Source organism: Homo sapiens, chromosome 4, assembly GCF_000001405.40.
Source record: "Homo sapiens chromosome 4, GRCh38.p14 Primary Assembly".
Taxonomy (NCBI): Eukaryota; Metazoa; Chordata; class Mammalia; order Primates; family Hominidae; genus Homo; species Homo sapiens.
In genome coordinates, this window is record NC_000004.12 from 14466817 (window position 1) to 14488654 (window position 21838).

The following is a 21838-nucleotide window of genomic DNA, read 5'->3' on the forward strand; positions in this document are numbered from 1 at the left end:
AGGTAAGGGAGGACTACTGTAATAGAAGCCTAATACAGATATGCTTGGATATGTGATGACCAGAAGGATACACAGTGAAAAAGATTGTTTGCAGACCACCAGAAATTATTTGGCTCTTTCCCCATGGTTTAGAATCGCTATTAGGAAAATATCACAGTAAGGAACATATTCCCCTACCCTTTTATCAAGGTAGGGCCATATGACCAGCTCTGGTTAATGTATACTGGAATAATATGTACCACTTCTGAGTGAAGGTTTCTATGTGCCCTGCATGCATGACACATCGTCTCTTTCTATTGGATCATATATACTGAAGATAGTCGAAGCCCATGAAGAAAGAGGCTTGGATCCTTAAAAAATTGCATGGGACAGAAGACCTTCCCCTCCCATGTTTTCATCAATGATTTAAGCTGTAAAATGAAAGAAGGATAAACTCGTACTGTGTTAATTCATCAACACTTGGGATTTTTCATAATATAACTTCACCTATTCTGACTAACACCATAAAAGCAAAGTATTTTTATTGTCATTTTATTTTAATAAAGACCATTTCTTGAATTAATTTTATAATATTTAAATGACAAATGTTAGGTATATATACCAGTGCATTTTATTTCTGAAGTGAAACAAAAAGAAAACTAGCATTGCTTCCAACTAAGTTTATGAATACCTCAATGAAACAAATCAATCAAGCAAGTCATTTTTATATCAGTTTTCTAGAACTATATATGCATATTCCAAGATGAGAGTAATATATCCATTGGCTAATCACAATATGCAATTGAAATTGTGTAAAGATCATGGACTTTGACAAGTTAGAGATTTGAACTTAAAGCCTGGTTTCAAAAAGTACAAGGTGTTTGATCTTGGCAAAGTAATTTAACCGGTTTCTCATTTTTGTCATCTTGTAAATGTGCATAGTATTTATAATATAAAACCGTTAGGAAAACGTAGTGATGAAAAATATCAAGCAAGCACAGTTCTTGTCACTTAGTAGGTGGTCAAACACTGCTAGATCTCTTCTCTTTCCCCCTTTATCTTTGTGTATCATAGGATGTCAAACAGATAATGAATAGCATCAATTATAGCTATGACATCTCCAGGACGTTACTAATGAGAGTCATACATCAAAACATTAGGCTTATGTGTTATGCAACTATTTGCTGAAGCTGTTCCTACTTTAATTTTTAAGACAGTAACTTCAGAGCTTTCTAACATAACAAAATCTATATTTACTTTGAAAGCTATGCAGTGCTTTGAGTATAAAAGCAAACTGACAAAACTGTACATTTGGAATCACTACATCTTTACAAAATCCTCCAAAGCCTTTTATGTCCACATATTTCTAACTAAAAAGTAAAAATTCTGTGAAGTTTAGTAACAGCTGTGTGTGTGTGTCCGTGTGTGTGTGCGCGCACACGCACACATGTATGTATTTGGAACTCGAGAACTAAAGAAGGACTGAAGACACGTTTGTGGTGTGGCAACCTTGGAATTTAGTGAACAATATTTTGCTTCTTACTCACTTTCCTTGTACACATCAGAGCCATTCACCTTTATTCTTTTAATTTTGCTCTCTCCTCTTTTCACTACCAGTGTCCCTCCTCTTATCTCACCCATTCTTCAGAACCCAGCTTAGGTTTCTCCTGTGCTAGAAGCCTCTCCTTAAGATTTGTCTCTTCATTAGCTGATTTGGGTCCTATTTGTTTTTATAGCAGAGGTCACAACTGGCCCAGAAAATGGCACTTGGATTCTGAGGATCCAAGTCCATAGCAGAAAATTCCAATGCTACAGGAGATATTGGTGGGGAGAGGTGATCTAAAATATCAAGGGAAGTGTCTACACACACCAGTTCTGGAGGGGTCAAATGTGAGTTTGAACTTGAAATCCCAAGAGATGACACCATAATAGGTGGAGAAACATGCAGTATCTTTATGTAAGGCTAGATGATGAAAAGTTTCCAAGAGGGCAAATTTCCCCAGACTGTTCTACAGAGGATATCTTACCTTTGTGATCATAAGACTTTATTGTTTATATTCATAGATTAATTAGGATGTCAGCCTACAGGGCCTGAAGTACTATGTCTTGGTAGGTAAATAACAGTGTTCTAGATATGGCTTCACAATTTATTAACTGCATTATCTTAGCTATGGTGCTGAACTGCTCCTGAGTCTTGGTTTAATAAAATACAGGAGGTCAAGTAATGCCCATCTCATGGAAGGATTGGAAATTCAATGAGATAATGCATGGAAAAAATGTGTGCAAATTCGAAGCCTGGAGATATACTAAAGAATGTTTTTATCTTTGGATCTGAGTCCATTTGGTGTTCCTATAACAGAACATCTGAGGCTGGATAATTTATAAAGAAAGAGGTTTATTTGGTTCATGATTTTGGTGACTGAAAGTCCAAGAGCATGGCATTAGCATCTGCTTGGCTTCTAGAGACAGCGTTTTTCTGTGTCACAATGTGGTGAACAGGCAGAAAGAAAAGTAGGTGGGAGCAAAGTGGCCAAACATGAGACGCAACCTCAATTTGCAACAACACACTTTCACCAGGACTAATCCATTCCTCAGAAAACTAATCCAATCTCATAAAAAGACAGTAATCTCTCTTTATGACCTAATCATCTCTGTAGAGTATCACCTCCCAACATTGCCACAATGGAAATTAAGATTCCTGCATGAGCTTTGGTGGGGAACACTCAAACCATAGCACTGTGCGATAAAATTGAGCACTCATTGAATGCTATTTATTAACTCCACTATAGACATAAAATACTCATTTTTTAACTTATAGTGAAAGCTTTTTGATGGGAGAAATCCAAATATCATTATTACTAAGTCATGCTTTAAAGTATAGGTCTAAGAGTACATTTGATATTCAACACGTTTATTTAGTGTTCAGTGAATGATTACTCTTCTCTCTGCACAACACTTTCTAATCTTCTGCTTTCTCTTATGTTTTTTATTACAAAAAGAAATTTACATAAATGATCACTTCTCAGAATTAAATTGACAGTGTAAATGACATGATTTATTACTGCCTAAAATATCTGAATTCAAATCCTGGCTTTGCCACTCACACAATTTTTGAGTAAATTGCTTAGCTTCTCTTTATCTCTTTGTTAATTTAAAACTATTCTTTTCTCCATTACTCATCTGTAGAATGGAGGTACGAATAGTTTTCTCAGGGAGTTTTCAAATGGCCAAATGATTTAAGGTATGTGAAATACATAACACAGTGCTTTGCTTAGCACAAAATAGTTGAACAATAAATTCTTCTTCCCCTTATCTCCCTTCTGCCAATGTTGTCTCTTCCCTTGAAGGATGCGAGAGCATGGATGATCTCACTACCTGATTATTGATGGCCTGCTTTCCTGTAACCATCTCTGAATTTAAGGATTATAGATATAGAGGAGGTATGTCACAATGAGACTAGAAGGTTTTCTTTTTAGAGTTAATATATTGTTATAAAAAATAGGCTTGGTTGTCCCTGCTTGATAATTCCCACAGCATCCTCCTAGCTACAGATAAAAGGACTTTCTACTTCATAACAAGAAGAAGGTTGTTTGATGTCATTTGAAAATTTTTAAAGAAGCCTATGGAAGGAAGTCTACAAATAAAATAACAGTGGCTGACTCTCAGGAGTTTCAGAGTGAAACAATACTTTATTTCTGTTCACAGGAAACTTTACCATTCAAATAAATTCACTTTTCATACAGCAACTCCTCAATTTCAGACCGAATGTTGAAAACTGGCCGCACTAAATCAGAAAGAAAACACTTTTGAAATCATCTTTGCAAAAGTACAATTTTGACACAAAAAGAAGAGAATCAAGAAGGTGAACAAAATTAAAATGGAATTCAGTTCAAGGGAGACAAGTTCTCAGGTGGTTAGTTATTTGTGAAACTTGCAAAGTACCAATCAAAGGGGGAGACTATACCCATCAGCACATATTGTTCCATGATAATGCTGATTCACTCTTTCAAACATTTAGAGTCAAGAAATTATAGGGGCCAAGGATCATATTTTATAGAAAAGGGAGGACACAGAATTGATCGTAGCAAGCATATTTATTAGAAGTCTTTCTTCATTCCTCTCTCTTCTTTCAAATCCTCTTTCTTCTTCATGGCCTCTTTCCACACCCCACTGCATCTACAAAGCATTCCCTGACCACTAGGCCTAACCATGTTTCCTTACTCTTTGAAAATCTGTGAAGACAGATTCTCTGCTCTTTTTAGGGCTGTTTCATGTAGTAAAGTATTGGCTCTGGATGTCAGACTCCCTGGATTGAATCCCCAGCACTTGCTAATTGTAAAAAATCTTAGGTGACATTATTTAAATTGTTTTTTTTTTTAGATTCCTATTATTATTATTATTGTTATTATACTTTAAGTTTTAGGGTACATGTGCACAACCTGCAGGTTTGTTACATATGTATACATGTGCCATGTTGGTGTGCTACACCCATTAACTCGTCGTTTAGCATTAGGTATATCTCCTAATGCTATCCCTCGCGCCTCCCCCCACCCCACAACAGTCCCCAGAGTGTGATGTTCCCCTTCCTGTGTCCATGTGTTCTCATTGTTCAATTCCCACCTATGAGTGAGAACATGCGGTGTTTGGTTTTTTGTCCTTTTGCAATAGTTTGTTGAGAATGATGGTTTCCAGCTTCACCCATGTCCCTACAAAGGACATGAACTCATCAATTTTTATGGCTGCATAGTATTCCATGGTGTGTGTGTGCCACATTTTCTTAATCCAGTCTATCATTGTTGGACATTTGGGTTGGTTCCAAGTCTTTGCTATTGTGAATAGTGCCGCAATAAACATACGTGTGCATGTGTCTTTATAGCAGCATGATTTATAATCCTTTGGGTATATACCCAGTAATGGGATGGCTGGGTCAAATGGTATTTCTAGTTCTAGATCCCTGAGGAATCACCACACCAACTTCCACAATGGTTGAACTAGTTTACAGTCCCACCAACAGTGTAAAAGTGTTCCTATTTCTCCACATCCTCTCCAGCACCTGTTGTTTCCTGACTTTTTAATGATTGATTGCCATTCTAACTGGTGTGAGATGGTATCTCATTGTGGTTTTGATTTGCATTTCTCTGATGGCCAGTGATGATGAGCATTTTTTCATGTGTTTTTTGCCTGCATAAATGTCTTCTTTTGAGAAGTGTCTGTTCATATCCTTCACCCACTTTTTGATGGGGTTGTTTGTTTTTTTCTTGTAAATTTGTTTGAGTTCATTGTAGATTCTGGATATTAGCCCTTTGTCAGATGAGTAGGTTGCAAAAATTTTCTCCCATTCTGTAGGTTGCCTGTTCACTCTGATGGTAGTTTCTTTTGCTGTGCAGAAGCTCTTTAATTAGATCCCATTTGTCAATTTTGGCTTTTGTTGCCATTGCTTTTGGTGTTTTAGACATGAAGTGCTTGCCCATGCCTATGTCCTGAATAGTATTGCCTAGGTTTTCTTCTAGGGTATTTACGGTTTTAGGTCTAACATTTAAGTCTTTAATCCATCTTGAATTAATTTTTGTATAAGGTGTAAGGAAGGGATCCAGTTTCAGCTTTCTACATATGGCTAGCCATTTTCCCAGCACCATTTATTAAATAGGGAATCCTTTCCCCATTGCTTGTTTTTGTCAGTTTTGTCAAAGATCAGATAGTTGTAGATATGTGGCATTATTTCTGAGGGCTCTGTTCTGTTCCTTTGATCTATATCTCTGTTTTGGTACCAGTACCATGCTGTTTTTATTACTGTAGCCTTGTGGTATAGTTTGAAGTCAGGTAGCATGATGCCTCCAGCTTTGTTCTTTTGGCTTAGGATTGACTTGGCAATGTGGGCTCTTTTTTGGTTCCATATGAACTTTAAAGTACTTTTTTCCAATTCTGTGAAGAAAGTCATTGATAGCTTGATGGGGATGGCATTGAATTTATAAATTACCTTGGGCAGTATGGCCATTTTCACGATATTGATTCTTCCTGTCCATGAGCATGGACTTTTCTTCCATTTGTTTGTATCCTCTTTTATTTCCTTGAGCAGTGGTTTGTAGTTCTCCTTGAAGAGGTCCTTCACATCCCTTGTAAGTTGGATTCCTAGGTATTTTATTCTCTTTGAAGCAATTGTGAATGAGAGTTCACTCATGATTTGGCTTTCTGTTTGTCTGTTATTGGTGTATAAGAATGCTTGTGATTTTTGCACATTGATTTTGTATCCTGAGACTTTGCTGAAGTTGCTTATCAGCTTAAGGAGATTTTGGGCTGAGGCAATGGGGTTTTCTAGATATACAATCATGTCATCTGCAAACAGGGACAATTTGACTTCCTCTTTTCCTAATTGAATACCCTTTATTTCCTTCTCCTGCCTGATTGCTGTGGCCAGAACTTCCAACACTATGTTGAATAGGAGTGGTGAGACAGGGCATCCATGTGTTGTGCCAGTTTTCAAAGGGAATGCTTTCAGTTTTTGTCCATTCAGTGTGATATTGGCTGTGGGTTTGTCATAGACAGCTCTTATTATTTTGAAATAGGTCCCATCAATACCTAATTTATTGAGAGTTTTTAGCATGAATGGTTGTTGAATTTTTCAAAGGCCTTTTCTGTGTCTATTGAGATAATCATGTGGTTTTTGTCTTTGGTTCTGTTTATATGCTGGATTACGTTTATTGATTTTCGTATGTTGAACCAGCCTTGCATCCCAGGGATGAAGCCCACTTAATCATGGTGGATAAGCTTTTTGATGTGTTGCTGGATTCGGTTTGCCAGTATTTTATTGAGGATTTTTGCATCAGTGTTCATCAAGGATATTGGTCTAAAATTCTTTTTGGTTGTGTCTCTGCCAGGCTTTGGTATCAGGATGATGCTGGCCTCATAAAATGAATTAGGGAGGATTCCCTCTTTTTCTATTGATTGGAATAGTTTCAGAAGGAATGGTACCAGCTCCTCCATGTACCTCTGGTAGAATTTGGCTGTGAATCCATCTGGTCCTGGACTTTTTTTCATTGGTAAGCTATTAATTATTGCCTCAATTTCGGAGCCTGTTATTGGTGTATTCAGAGATTCAACTTCTTCATGGTTTAGTCTTGGGACAGTGTATGTGTCGAGGAATTTATCCATTTCTTCTAGATTTTCTAGTTTATTTGCGTAGAGGTGTTTATAGTATTCTCTGATGGTAGTTTGTATTTCTGAGGGATTGGTGGTGATATCCCCTTTGTCATTTTTTATTGAGTCTATTTGATTCTTCTCTCTTTTCTTCTTTATTAATCTTGCTAGCGGTCTATCAATTTTATTGATCTTTTCAAAAAACCAGCCCCTGGATTCATTGATTTTTTGAAGGGTTCTTGTGTGTCTCTATTTCCTTCAGTTCTGCTCTGATTTTAGTTATTTCTTGCCTTCTGCTAGCTTTTGAATGTGTTTCCTCTTGCTTCTCTAGTTCTTTTAATTGTGATGTTAGGGTGTCAATTTTAGATCTTTCCTGCTTTCTCTTGTGGGCATTTAGTGCTATAAATTTCCCTCTACACACTGCTTTGAATGTGTCCCAGAGATTCTGGTATGTTGTGTCTTTGTTCTCGTTGGTTTCAAAGAACATCTTTACTTCTGCCTTCATTTCGTTATGTACCCAGTAGTCATTCAGGAGCAGGTTGTTCAGTTTCCATGTAGTTGAGCAGTTTTGAGTGAGTTTCTTAATCCTGAGTTCTAGTATGATTGCACTGTCATCGTACATATATTTTTTCACCTATAGAATGGGAATATTGTTAGTATAATAAATTTAACTGATAAAAGTTAAATGAGTTAAGGATTGCAACACACATCAAAAAGTACCAGAAGTGTGGTTAATAGTACATGCTGCATTAGTTATTTTTAGTTAATATGACCATTCTACGTTCATTGGTTTCAGACCTAGAGCTGTGCAATCTTTCTAAAAGCAAATTTGTCTTAGCCACCTTATGCTGCAACTCCTTCAATGATTTTACTATCTTTAGAAGGAAGCCCAAACTTCTTAACATGATGTTATGGTGAGCAATGCACACCAGCCCCCCCACCCAAAAACCATTCACACCCTAACACTGGAACCTGTGAATATGTCACATTCCGTGGCAACAGGGAATACTTTACTTTGCATGTATACTATGGGTATGAAGCTTGATATTATCCTGGATTATTCAGTACAAGCAAGTGTTTCCTTAAAAGTGGATAATCTTTCCTGCCTATGGTTATGAGAGAGAGACTGATGATGGATAAGTGTCAGAGAGATGGAGGAAATGAGGCCACATACCAAGGAGTATAGGCAGTATCTAAAAGATGCAAAAGGGAAGGAAAGGGATTCTCCCACAGAGCCTCCAGAAGAGAATGTAACCCTGCAGATACCTTGCTTATTAGTCCAGGTAAATCCATGCCAAACTTCTGGTCTAATGTACTGTCAGATAATATATTTGTGTTGTTTTAAGCCATTAAGTTTATGTTAATTTGTTAGAGCAGCTGTAGGAAACCAATACACGTGATATACAAAGCCTTTGAGGTTTCATGTTTGTCTTCTTCTCAGCCTACTTTCAGGGCCCTGGAGAACAAGATGAGAGAGAAGGTCTGCGGCTAATGGCCAAGCTTGTTTGTGTATAGACAGTATTCACATGGGTCTGCTGGTGTATTTCCAGGAAAGAGACAATGTAATTATAAGGATAATGAATACATATCTGGCGCGTAACTTCTCTAAGTCTGAGTCTGCACACATGGCTGTGAGGAGGATTAAATGAGGTGATTCCCATAATAGATTTTTCCTGATTCCTGGTGCACAAAAAGAGTTTGGTCAAAGGTAGAAAGGTAGTTATGATAGGTCTTCTTCCTCGTTTCCCTATCTCCCCTTTCTTTCTGTTGAAACTTCCCAGTATAATTGGAAAAGAGTAGCAGTCAATTCTCTGGGAAGATGAAAAGGAGCAAGTTGCAAAGATTCTTGAATGCAAAGCTAAAAAAATTTACTCTATTCATTAGGCAATAGAAAAATCAGTCACTTACTTTAAGAGTAATTATTTTTTAGTTATTTATTTATAAATTAATAACTAGAAAGGCCTCACTCCGTAGTCCAGGCTTGAGTGTAGTGGCATGATCATAGCTCACTGCATCTTTGAACTCCTGGGCTCAAGTGATCCTCCCACCTTAGCCTCCAGAGTAGCTGGGACTACAGTTATGTGCCACCATACCCAGCTAAAGAGAAATTACTTTGAAGTTTCATTACGTATACTGCAAGAGCTATGTGATCTCTACATGTTTTGTTTTCTCAACTATAACATTAGAAATATATGAAGACCTGCCTACCTCATACACTTGAGTAAATTAATACAAGCAAAGTGCATGGAAAAGTATCTTAGATGGTAAAGATTCAATAAGTGGAATTTCAATATACTTATTTACTTATCCATCATCCAATATTTATTAAGTGCCTACTGGTGTCAGAAAATGTTCTAGGAGTTGAGGATATATTAGGAGAAATAAACAAACTTCATGAATCTGACAATATGGTGGTGGTATTCAAACAATGAATTTAAAAGTTTTTAAAGTGTGTGTGTGTGTTTAGCATGTTAAGTGGTGATAAATGCTCCAGAGAAAAGAAAAAAAATTTTATAAAAGGGAATCAAGAATGTCAGGGCAGGAGCAGGGCAGACAGGCTTCAAGTATAAATGGATTATTCAGGAAGTTCTTACTGGGAGAATGACATTTAACCAAGACTGAATGGAAGAGGGAGCGTGCAAGCTATGAGACTTTCAAGGGGAAGAGCATTGCAGGCAGAGAGAAGAGCTAGAGCTGAAGTTCCAGCTCTAACTAGAAGCCCACCAGACATGTCTAAGGAACGGCAAGGAAGCCAATAGGGCTGAAGTAGATGTGGCCAAAGGAGAAGAAGCCATTGAATTAGAAGGAGAGGTAAGAAAGATTTTGTAGGTACCTCATTGCCACTGTGTTAGAATTTGGGCTCTGAGTATGCTGGATGAGGAGCTGTTCATCATTGCTAAGCAGAGGAGGAGCACAGTCTGGCCTATATTTTGACAGCATCAGGCTGGATGCTGTGCTACATATCGATGCAGGAGGATGAGATCTGAACCATTGAGACAAGTTAAAAGAATTGAGTAGTATATCAAATAGTACTATAAACGTTTAAACTTCAACTACAGGTTTTAAACAAAATGTTTGTTTTGGAAATCAAAATCTGCTTTCCCCAATGAATAATTTAATACATTTTGTATAGCTGAATGTCTTTTTTTTCTCTCTCTCTTGAAATAATACAGGTAATAGATCTTTCTTATTCACAGCTCTTTGTAAATTATCTGAAATTCTGCCAGCATTTAAAGCTGGATTAAAATGCTGGCTGCCTCGTCCTCCGTTAACATTTGCTTTGTTCAGAACGTGACTACTGGATAGATGAAGGATCAGGATGATTCAGAAAAGAAATGTATAGCATTTGCAAAGGACTTGAATGATAAATTACTGAGCATTCCCCAAATGCCAGCATCACATCACAGATCTCCTTACCTAGACCAAGGCAGCCTCCAGGGTTAATCATTTCTTCTTTTGGTGTCTGGGTAGTAGAGTCTGAAATACAGAAATATCCAAGACATCTGTGGCTCTTGAGACCTTCTTTTAGCTGTGAAGTTTAGGGAAGAAGAGATGTGTTACTCTGACTCACTCCATCATTGATGGCAACACCAAAGAAAGTACTTATCATTTCTCTTGTTAAATGTAAACATTTAAACATTAAGCATTTATTGAGACTCTGTTATACATTAAGCACAATGCTAAGCATTGTGGTAATTTGTATTTGAATTTTAATCCTGTTTTTTAAAAGCTATGAGTCCTTAGGAAAACCGTAATTCAGCCTAGCTTCAATTTTCTTATTATTTAAAGTCAGTAGAGGCAATTTCTGACAATATGGCAGAGAAAACTTGAATAGATTCCCCTTCAACAGTCCTGTGATAAATTTATAAAAATTCTGGCAAAATATTTTCAATATTTTGAAAACATTAAACAATTTTAGATTAAAAATATTTTTAAATATAAACCAATTTATATGTAAATATTTGTTTATATCCAAGTTCAAAATAAAGCAAAATATACATGTGAAAAAAATGTAGATAGAACTCAAAGTCATAATAATAAGGACCATCTGATACCATGGCAAAACCTAGAGGTGTTGGTCTCATTTAAAAGACAGAATGAGACAAAGGATTAAGATGGTGGAAGCAGGACTAGCTTGCAGCTCCCACTTGGATGGACAGAGCAGTGTATGGAGACACATAGTGAACTTTTGCTCCAAGAACTACCTCAGGAACATAACAGGAAACCCGAGAGAATTCATAGACCCCTGGAATGAACTAGATCACCACTGCAGGCTTCCTGAGATGCCAAAAATCTGTAAGTCTGCTTTCTTTCTCACTGGGGAGGCTTGTGGTCTAGGGCAAGCTCTCAGCCCTGGTCACTGACTGCCTGGAGATAGACTTGGTGCTCTTGGAGGGGCACGGTTGGAGTGAGACCAGCCTTTAGGACTGCCAGCTGCATGGGAGCAGGGTGAAGCCAGTGACTGCCAGCTTCCCCCCACTTCCCTGGTGATCTGCATGACTCAGCAGAGGCAGCCATAAACCCCCTGGGAATATAACTCCACTGGACTGGGAACCATACCCCTATCCCCCACACCAGCCACAGCAAGCCCCATCCAAGGAGAGGTTGACCTCAGACATGCCTATCCCTGCCCCTACCTGGTGGTCTTTCTCTACGCGCCCTGGCAGCCAAAAACAAAGGTCATAATCTCTTGGGAGCCCTATAGTCCTGCCCACTACCTGAGAATCCTGAATACTATACCAGGTGTCCCTACAGCAAGTTTGCATCCTCCCTGTAGCACCACAGTTTTGATACACTCTTGAAAGCGCCACCTTTTGGCTGGCAGCCAACCAACACAAAAGCAGTGCACTAAACAAAAACACAACCAAGGACCCTCACAGAGTCCATTTCACTCCCCTGTTATCTCTGCTGGAGCAGGTGCCGGTATCCATAGCTGCAAGACCTGAAGACATCACATCGCAGAACTCTTTGCAGACACTCCCCAGTACCAGCCCGGAGGACAGTAGCTCCACTGGGTGGCTAGACCCAGAAGAGCAAAAGCAATTACTACAATTTGGCTCTCAGGAAGCCCCATTCCTAGGAAAAGGGGGAAACTACCACATCAAGGGACCACCCCATGGGACAAAAGAATCTGAACAGTAGTGCTTGAATCCCAGATGATCCTTCTGACATAGTCTACCCAAATGAGAAAGAACCAGAAAAACAATTCTGGTAATATGACAAAATAAGGTTATTTAACACCCCCCAAAAGTTCATACCAGCTCACCAGCAATGGATCCAAACCAAGATAAAATCTCTCTCTGAATTGCCAGAAAAAAGAATTCAGAAGGTCAAATATTAAGGTAATCAAGGAGGCACCAGACAAAGGTGAAGTCCAACTTAAAGAAACCAAAAACATGATATAGGATATGAAACGAACATTTTTCAGTGAAATAGCATAAATAAAAAATAATAACTTATAGAAATCAAGAGCACAGAGAAATGCAAAATGTACCAAAAATCTCAGCAATAGAATCAAACAAGCAGAAGAAAGAACTTCAGAGTTCAAAGACAAGGCTTTTGAATTAACCCAATCCATCGAAAACAAAGAAAAAAGAATTAGAGAAATGAACAAAACCTCCGAGAAGTTTAGGACTATGTTAAATGTCCATATCTAAGAATAATCGGTGCTCTTGAGGAAGAAGAGAAATCTAAAAGTTTGGAAAACGTATTTGGGGGAAAAATCAAGGAAAATTTCCCCAGCCTTGCTACAGATCTAGACATCCAAATACAAGAAGTACAGATCTAGACATCCAAATACAAGAAGCTCAAAAAACACCTGGGAAATTCATTATAAAAGATCCTCATCTAGGCACATAGTCATCAGGTTATTACAGTTCAGCTGTAAGGAAGCCCCAGATTATCTAAAATCAAGACAAAAGAGAGAATTTTAAGAGCTATGAGACAAAAGCATCCAGTAGCCTATAAAGAAAAACCTATCAGATTAACAGCAGATTTCTCAGCAGAAACCATACAAGCTAGAAGGGATTGGGGTCCGATTTTTAACCTCCTTAAACAAAACAATTATCAGCCAATAATTTTATATCCAGTGAAGCTAAGCTTCATAAATGAAGGAAAGATATAGTCTTTTCCACACAACCATGTGCTGAAGGGATTCAACACTATCAAGCCAGAACTACAAGAATTGCTAAAAGGAGCTCTAAATTTTGAAACAAATCATAAAATACATCAAAATAGAATCTCCTTAAAGCATAAATTTCAGAGGACCTATATAACAATAACACAAGGAGGGAAAAACAAGGTATTCTGGCAAAAAAATAGCATGATGAATAGAATAGTACCTCATGTCTCATTACTACCATTGAATGTAAATGGCCTAAAGGCTCCACTTGTAAAAGTACAGAATGGCAGAACGAATAAGAATTCACCAACCAAGTGTCTGTTGTCTTCAGAAGATCCACCTAACACATAAGGACTCCCATAAACTTAAGGTAAAGGGGTAGATAAAGATATTCCATGCAATGGACACCAAAAGCAAGCAGGAGTAGCTATTCTTATATCAGACAAAACTAACTTTAAAGCAATAGCAGTTAAAAAAAAAAGACAGAGACATTAATGATAAAAGGACTAATCTAACAGGAAAATATCACAATTCTAAATATATATGCACCTATCACTGGAGCTCACAAATTTTTAAAGCAATTAGTACTAGACCTAAGGAATGAGATAGATGGCAACACAATAATAGTGGGGGACTTTAATACTCCACTGACAGCACTAGACAGGATCAAGACAGAAAGTCAACAAAGAAACAATGAACTCGGGAGGAGCCAAGATGGCCAACTAGGAACAGCTCCGGTCTATAGCTCCCAGCGTGAGCGACGCAGAAGAAGGGTGATTTCTGCATTTCCATCTGAGGTACCAGGTTCATCTCACTAGGGAGTGCCAGACAGTGGGCGCAGGTCAGTGGGTACACGCACCCTGTGCGAGCTGAAGCAGGGCGAGGCATTGCCTCACTTGGGAAGCGCAAGGGGTCAGGGAGTTCCCTTTCCGAGTCAAAGAAAGGGGTGACGGACGCACCTGGAAAATCGGGTCACTCCCACCCGAATACTGCACTTTTCCGACCGGCTTAAAAAATGGCGCACCACGAGATTATATCCCGCACCTGGCTTGGAGGGTCCTACGCCCGCGGAGTCTCGCTGATTGCTAGCACAGCAGTCTGAGATCAAACTGCAAGGCGGCAGCGAGGCTGGGGGAGGGGCACCCACCATTGCCCAGGCTTGCTTAGGTAAACAAAGCAGCCAGGAAGCTCGAACTGGGTGGAGCCCACCACAGCTCAAGGAGGCCTGCCTGCCTCTGTAGGCTCCACCTCTGGGGGCAGGGCACAGACAAACAAAAAGACAGCAGTAACCTCTGCAGACATGAATGTCCCTGTCTGACAGCTTTGAAGAGAGCAGTGGTTCTCCCAGCACGCAGCTGGAGATCTGAGAACGGGCAGACTGCCTCCTCAAGTGGGTCCCTGACCCCTGACCCCCGAGCAGCCTAACTGGGAGGCACCCCCCCAGCAGGGGCACACTGACACCTCACACGGCAGGGTATTCCAACAGACCTGCAGCTGAGGGTCCTGTCTGTTAGAAGGAAAACTAACAAACAGAAAGGACATCCACACCAAAAACCCATCTGTACATCACCATCATCAAAGACCAAAAGTAGATAATACCACAAAGATGGGGAAGAAACAGAACAGAAAAACTGGAAACTCTAAAAAGCAGAGCACCTCTCCTCCTCCAAAGGAACTCAGTTCCTCACCAGCAATGGAACAAAGCTGGATGGAGAATGACTTTGATGAGCTGAGAGAAGAAGGCTTCAGACGATCAAATTATTCTGAGCTACGGGAGGACATTCAGACCAAAGGCAAAGAAGTTGAAAACTATGAAAAAAATTTAGAAGAATGTATAACTGGAATAACCAATACAGAGAAGTGCTTAAAGGAGCTGATGGAGCTGAAAACCAAGGCTCGAGAACTACGTGAAGAATGCAGAAGCCTCAGGAGCCGATGCGATCAACTGGAAGAAAGGGTATCAGTGATGGAAGATGAAATGAATGAAATGAAGCAAGAAGGGAAGTTTAGAGAAAAAAGAATAAAAAGAAATGAGCAAAGCCTCCAAGAAATATGGGACTATGTGAAAAGACCAAATCTATGTCTGATTGGTGTACCTGAAAGTGATGGGGAGAATGCAACCAAGTTGGAAAACACTCTGCAGGATATTATCCAGGAGAACTTCCCCAATCTAGCAAGGCAGGCCAACGTTCAGATTCAGGAAATACAGAGAATGCCACAAAGATACTCCTCGAGAAGAGCAACTCCAAGACACATAATTGTCAGATTCACCAAAGTAGAAATGAAGGAAAAAATGTTAAGGGCAGCCAGAGAGAAAGGTCGGGTTACCCTCAAAGGTAAGCCCATCAGAATAACAGCGGATCTCTCGGCAGAAACCCTACAAGCCAGAAGAGAGTGGGTGCCAATATTCAACATTCTTAAAGAAAAGAATTTTCAACCCAGAATTTCATATCCAGCCAAACTAAGCTTCATAAGTGAAGGAGAAATAAAATACTTTACAGACAAGCAAATGCTGAGAGATTTTGTCACCACCAGGCCTGCCCTAAAAGAGCTCCTGAAGGAAGAGCTAAACATGGAAAGGAACAACCAGTACCAGCCGCTGCAAAATCATGCCAAAATGTAAAGACCATCAAGACTAGGAAGAAACTGCATCAACTAATGAGCAAAATAATCAGCTAACATCATAATGACAGGATCAGGTTCACACATAACAATATTAACTTTAAATGTAAATGGACTAAATGCTCCAATTAAAAGACAGACTGGCAAATTGGATAAAGAGTCAAGACCCATCAGTGTGCTGTATTCAGGAAACCCATCTCACGTGCAGAGACACACATAGGCTCAAAATAATAGGATGGAGGAAGATCTACCAAGCAAATGGAAAACAAAAAAAGGCAGGGGTTGCAATCCTAGTCTCTGATAAAACAGACTTTAAACCAACAAAGATCAAAAGAGACAAAGAAGGCCATTACATAATGGTAAAGGGATCAATTCAACAAGAAGAGCTAACTATCCTAAATATATATGCACCCAATATAGGAGCACCCAGATTCATAAAGCAAGTCCTGAGTGACCTACAAAGAGACTTAGACTCCCACACATTAATAATGGGAGACTTTAACACCCCACTGTCAACATTAGACAGATCAACGAGACAGAAAGTCAATAAGGATACACAGGAATTGAACTCAGCTCTGCACCAAGCAGACCTAATAGACATCTACAGAACTCTCCACCCCAAATCAACAGGATATACACTTTTTTCAGCACCACACCACACCTATTCCAAAATTGACCACATACTTGGAAGTAAAGCCTCCTCAGCAAATGTAAAAGAACAGAGATTATAAGAAACTATCTCTCAGACCACAGTGCAATCAAACTAGAACTCAGGATTAAGAATCTCACTCAAAACCGCTCAACTACATGGAAACTGAACAACCTGCTCCTGAATGACTACTGGGTACATAACGAAATGAAGGCAGAAATAAAGCTGTTCTTTGAAACCAACGAGAACAAAGACACAACATACCAGAATCTCTGGGACGCATTCAAAGCAGTGTGTAGAGGGAAATTTATAGCACGAAATGCCCACAAGAGAAAGCAGGAAAGATCCAAAATTGACACCCTAACATCACAATTAAAAGAACTAGAGAAGCAAGAGCAAACACATTCAAAAGCTAGCAGAAGGCAAGAAATAACTAAAATCAGAGCAGAACTGAAGGAAATAGAGACACAAAAAACCCTTCAAAAAATTAATGAATCCAGGAGCTGGTTTTTTGAAAGGATCAACAAAATTGATAGATCGCTAGCAAGACTAATAAAGAAAAAAGAGAAGAATCAAATAGACACAATAAAAAATGATAAAGGTGATATCACCACCGATCCCACAGAAATACAAACTACCATCAGAGAATACTACAAACACCTCTACGCAAATAAACTAGAAAATCTAGAAGAAATGGATAAATTCCTGGACACATACACTCTCCCAAGACTAAACCAGGAAGAAGTTGAATCTCTGAATAGACCAATAACAGGATCTGAAATTGTGGCAATAATCAATAGTTTACCAACCAAAAAGAGTCCAGGACCAGATGGATTCACAGCCGAATTCTACCAGAGGTACAAGGAGGAACTGGTACCATTCCTTCTGAAACTATTCCAATCAACAGAAAAAGAGGGAATCCTCCCTAACTCATTTTATGAGGCCAGCATCATTCTGATACCAAAGCCGGGCAGAGACACAAACAAAAAACAGAATTTTAGACCAATACCCTTGATGAACATTGATGCAAAAATCCTCAATAAAATACTGGCGAAACGAATCCAGCAGCACATCAAAAAGCTTATCCACCATGATCAAGTGGGCTTCATCCCTGGGATGCAAGGCTGGTTCAATATACGCAAATCAATAAATGTAATCCAGCATATAAACAGAGCCAAAGACAAAAACCACATGATTATCTCAATAGATGCAGAAAAAGCCTTTGACAAAATTCAGCAACGCTTCATGCTAAAAACTCTCAATAAATTAGGTATTGATGGGACCTATATCAAACTAATAAGAGCTATCTATGAAAAACCCACAGCCAATATCATACTGAATGGGCAAAAACTGGAAGCATTCCCTTAGAAAACTGGCACAAGACAGGGATGCCCTCTGTCACCACTCCTATTCAACATAGTGTTGGAAGTTCTGGCCAGGGCAATTAGGCAGGAGAAGGAAATAAAGGGTATTCAATTAGGAAAAGAGGAAGTCAAATTGTCCCTGTTTGCAGACGACATGATTGTATATCTAGAAAACCCCATTGTCTCAGCCCAAAATCTCCTTAAGCTGATAAGCAACTTCAGCAAAGTCTCAGGATACAAAATCAATGTACAAAAATCACAAGCATTCTTATACACCAACTCAGGATACAAAATCAATGTACAAAAATCACAAGCATTCTTATACACCAACAACAGACAAACAGAGAGCCAAATCATGAGTGAACTCCCATTCACAATTGCTTCAAAGAGAATAAAATACCTATGAATCCAACTTACAAGGGATGTGAAGGACCTCTTCAAGGAGAACTACAAACCACTGCTCAATGAAATAAAAGAGGATACAAACAAATGGAAGGACATTCCATGCTCATGGGTAGGAAGAATCAATATCGTGAAAATGGCCATACTGCCCAAGGTAATTTACAGATTCAATGCCATCCCCGTCAAGCTACCAATGCCTTTCTTCACAGAATTGGAAAAAACTACTTTAAAGTTCATATGGAACCAAAAAAGAGCCCGCATCGCCAAGTCAATCCTAAGCCAAAAGAACAAAGCTGGAGGCATCACACTGCCTGACTTCAAACTACAGTACAAGGCTACAGTAACCAAAACAACATGGTATTGGTACCAAAACAGAGATACAGATCAATGGAACAGAACAGAGCCCTCAGAAATAACGCCGCATATCTACAATTATCTGATCTTTGACAAACCTGAGAAAAACAATCAATTGGGAAAAGATTCCCTGTTTAATACATGGTGCTGGGAAAACTGGCTAGCCACATGTAGAAAGCTGAAACTGGATCCCTTCCTTACACCTTATACAAAAATCAATTCAAGATGGATTAAAGACTTAAACATTAGACCTAAAACCATAAAAACCCTAGAAGAAAACCTAGGCATTACCATTCAGGACATAGGCATGGGCAAGGACTTCATGTCTAAAACACCAAAAGCAATGGCAACAAAAGCCAAAATTGACAAATGGGATCTAATTCAACTAAAGAGCTTCTGAACAGCAAAAGATACTACCATCAGAGTGAACAGGCAACCTACAAAATGGGAGAAAATTTTTGCAACCTACTCACCTGACAAAGGGATAATATCCAGAATCTACAATGAACTCAAACAAATTTACAAGAAAAAAACAAACAACCCCATCAAAAAGTGGTCAAAGGACATGAACAGACACTTCTCAAAAGAAGACATTTATGCAGCCAAAAAACACAGGAAAAAATGCTCATCATCACTGGCCATCAGAGAAATGCAAATCAAAACCACAATGAGATACCATCTCACACCAGTTAGAATGGCAATCATTAAAAAGTCAGGAAACAACAGGTGCTGGAGAGGATGTGGAGAAATAGGAACACTTTTACACTGTTGGTGGGACTGTAAACTAGTTCAACCATTGTGGAAGTCAGTGTGGCGATTCCTCAGGGATCTAGAACTAGAAATACCATTTGACCCAGCCATCCCATTACTGGGTATATACCCAAAGAACTCTAAATCATGCTGCTATAAAGACACATGCACACGTATGTTTATTGCGGCATTATTCACAATAGCAAAGACTTGGAACCAACCCAAATGCCCAACAATGATAGACTGGATTAAGAAAATGTGGCACATATACACCATGGAATACTATGCAGCCATAAAAAATGATGAGTTCATGTCCTTTGTAGGGACATGGATGAAATTGGAAAGCATCATTCTCAGTAAACTATCACAAGAACAAAAAACCAAACACCGCATATTCTCACTCATAGGTGGGAATTGCACAATGAGGTCACATGGACACAGGAAGGGGAATATCACACTCTGGGGACTGTGGTGGGGTGGGGGGAGGGGGAAGGGATAGCATTGGGAGATATACCTAATGCTAGATGACGAGTTAGTGGGTGCAGTGCACCAGCATGGCACATGTATACATATGTAACTAACCTGCACAATGTGCACATGTACCCTAAAACTTAAAGTATAATTAAAAAAAGAAAAAAAAAGAAACAATGAACTCACCGGGCACAGTGGCACAAAGAAACAATGAACTCGTCTGTAATCCCAGCACTTTGAGAGGCCAAGGTGGGGGATCACGAGGTCAGGAGTTTGAGACCAGCCTGACCAACATGTTGAAACCCCATCTCTACTAAAGATAAAAAAATTAGCTGGGCATGGTGGCGGGCACCTGTAATCCCAGCTACTCAGGAGGCTGAGGCAGGAGAATTGCTTGAATCCGGGAGGCGAAGGTTGCAGTGGGTGAAGGTTGCAGTGAGCCGAGATCACACCATTGCACTCCAGCCTGGATGACAGAGCAAGACTCTGTCTCAAAAAAAAAGAAAAAAAAAAAAAAGAAACAATGAACTTAAACTATACCCTACAACAAATGGACTTAACAGATATTTACAGAACATTCTACCCAATAACTGCAGAATATACATTCTACTTATCAGCACAGGGAACATTCCCCAAGATAGGCCATATGATAGGCCCCAAAACAAGTCTCAGTAAATTTAAGAAAATCAAAATTATATCAAGGAAATTAAAATTATGTCACTCTCAGACCACAGTGGAATACAATTGAATACCCACTCCAAAAGGAATTCTCAAAACCATGCAAATACATGGAAATTAAATAACCTGCTCCTGAATGACTGTTGAGTCAACAATGAAATCAAGATGGAAATTTAAAAATTATTTGAACTGAACTATAATCGGGACACAACCCATCAAAACCTCTGGCATATGGCAAAAGCGGGGCTAAGAGGAAAGTTCACAGCATTAAATGTCTACATCAAAAAGTCTAAAAGACCACAAATAAACAATCTCCGGTCACACCTCATGGAACTGGAGAAACAAGAACAATTCAAACCCAAACCCAGCAGAAGAAAAGAAATAAAGATCAGAGAAGAAATAAATGAAACAAAATCTACAAAATATAAATGAAAAAAACAAAGCTGGTTCTTTGTAAAGATAAATAACATTGATAGACCGTTAACAAGATTAACCAAAAAGACAAGAGAGAAGATCCAAATAAGCTCAATTGGATATGAAACGAGGGATATTACAGCTTGAGAACAGAACTACAAAAGATTATTCAAGGCTACTATGAATACCTTTATATGCACAAACTAGAAAACCTAAAGGAGAGGGATAAATAGAAATATACAGCCCCCTAGATTAAACCAGCAAGTTATAGAATCTTTGAACAGATGAATAACAATCAGTGAGTTTGAAATGGTATTAAAAAAAAAGTCAACAGAAAAAAATCCAGGACCAGATGGATTCACAGCTGAATTATATCAGACATTCAAATAAGAATTAGTACCAACCCTATTGACATTATTCCACAGGATAGAGAAAGAGGAAATCCTCCCTAAATCGTTCTATGAAGCCAATATCACCCTAATATCAAAACCAGGAAAAAGACATAACAAAGAAGGAAAACTACAGACCAATATCCCTGATAAATATAGATGCAAAAATCCTCAACAAAATACTAGTGAACCAAATCCAACAGAACATCAAAAAGATTACCTACCATGATCAAGTGGGTTTCATACCAGTGATGCAGGGATGGTTTTACATATGTAAGTCAATAAGTGTGATACAGTACACAAACAAAATTAAAAACAAAAATCACATGTTCATCTCAACAGATGCAGAAAAAGCACTTGACAAAATCCAGAATCCTTTTTTTTGATTAAGACTCCCAGCAAAATCAGCATAGAAGGGACATTCCTTAAGGTAATAAAAGCCGTCTATGACAAACCCACATCCAACATTATACTGAATCGGGAAAAGTTGAAAACACTTCCTCTGAGAACT

At 38.8% G+C, this 21838-nt stretch overlaps 1 long non-coding RNA gene across 1 annotated transcript in view, besides 3 other annotated features; it reads right to left on the reverse strand.

Moving 5' to 3' along the window:
- Positions 1-3648: 3648 nt before the first annotated feature.
- LINC00504 (long intergenic non-protein coding RNA 504) overlaps positions 3649-21838 on the reverse strand; it is a 417705-nt gene continuing 399515 nt past the window's right edge. The window contains exons 6-7 of the long non-coding RNA NR_126435.1: positions 10531-10642; positions 3649-7747 (exon numbers count right to left, since the gene is read on the reverse strand). This is a non-coding gene — a long non-coding RNA (long intergenic non-protein coding RNA 504). The remainder of the gene's footprint in view (positions 7748-10530; positions 10643-21838) is intronic.
- Positions 11096-11596: an enhancer, noted in NCBI's record as "H3K27ac hESC enhancer chr4:14479536-14480036 (GRCh37/hg19 assembly coordinates)". NCBI's record gives its function as "activates a minimal SCP1, AML or CMV promoter by ChIP-STARR-seq in primed H9 embryonic stem cells {active_cell/tissue: H9 hESC(primed)}" and the evidence as "EXISTENCE:reporter gene assay evidence [ECO:0000049][PMID:30033119]".
- Positions 11597-12097: an enhancer, noted in NCBI's record as "H3K27ac hESC enhancer chr4:14480037-14480537 (GRCh37/hg19 assembly coordinates)". NCBI's record gives its function as "activates a minimal SCP1, AML or CMV promoter by ChIP-STARR-seq in primed H9 embryonic stem cells {active_cell/tissue: H9 hESC(primed)}" and the evidence as "EXISTENCE:reporter gene assay evidence [ECO:0000049][PMID:30033119]".
- Positions 14290-14847: an enhancer, noted in NCBI's record as "H3K27ac-H3K4me1 hESC enhancer chr4:14482730-14483287 (GRCh37/hg19 assembly coordinates)". NCBI's record gives its function as "activates a minimal SCP1, AML or CMV promoter by ChIP-STARR-seq in primed H9 embryonic stem cells {active_cell/tissue: H9 hESC(primed)}" and the evidence as "EXISTENCE:reporter gene assay evidence [ECO:0000049][PMID:30033119]".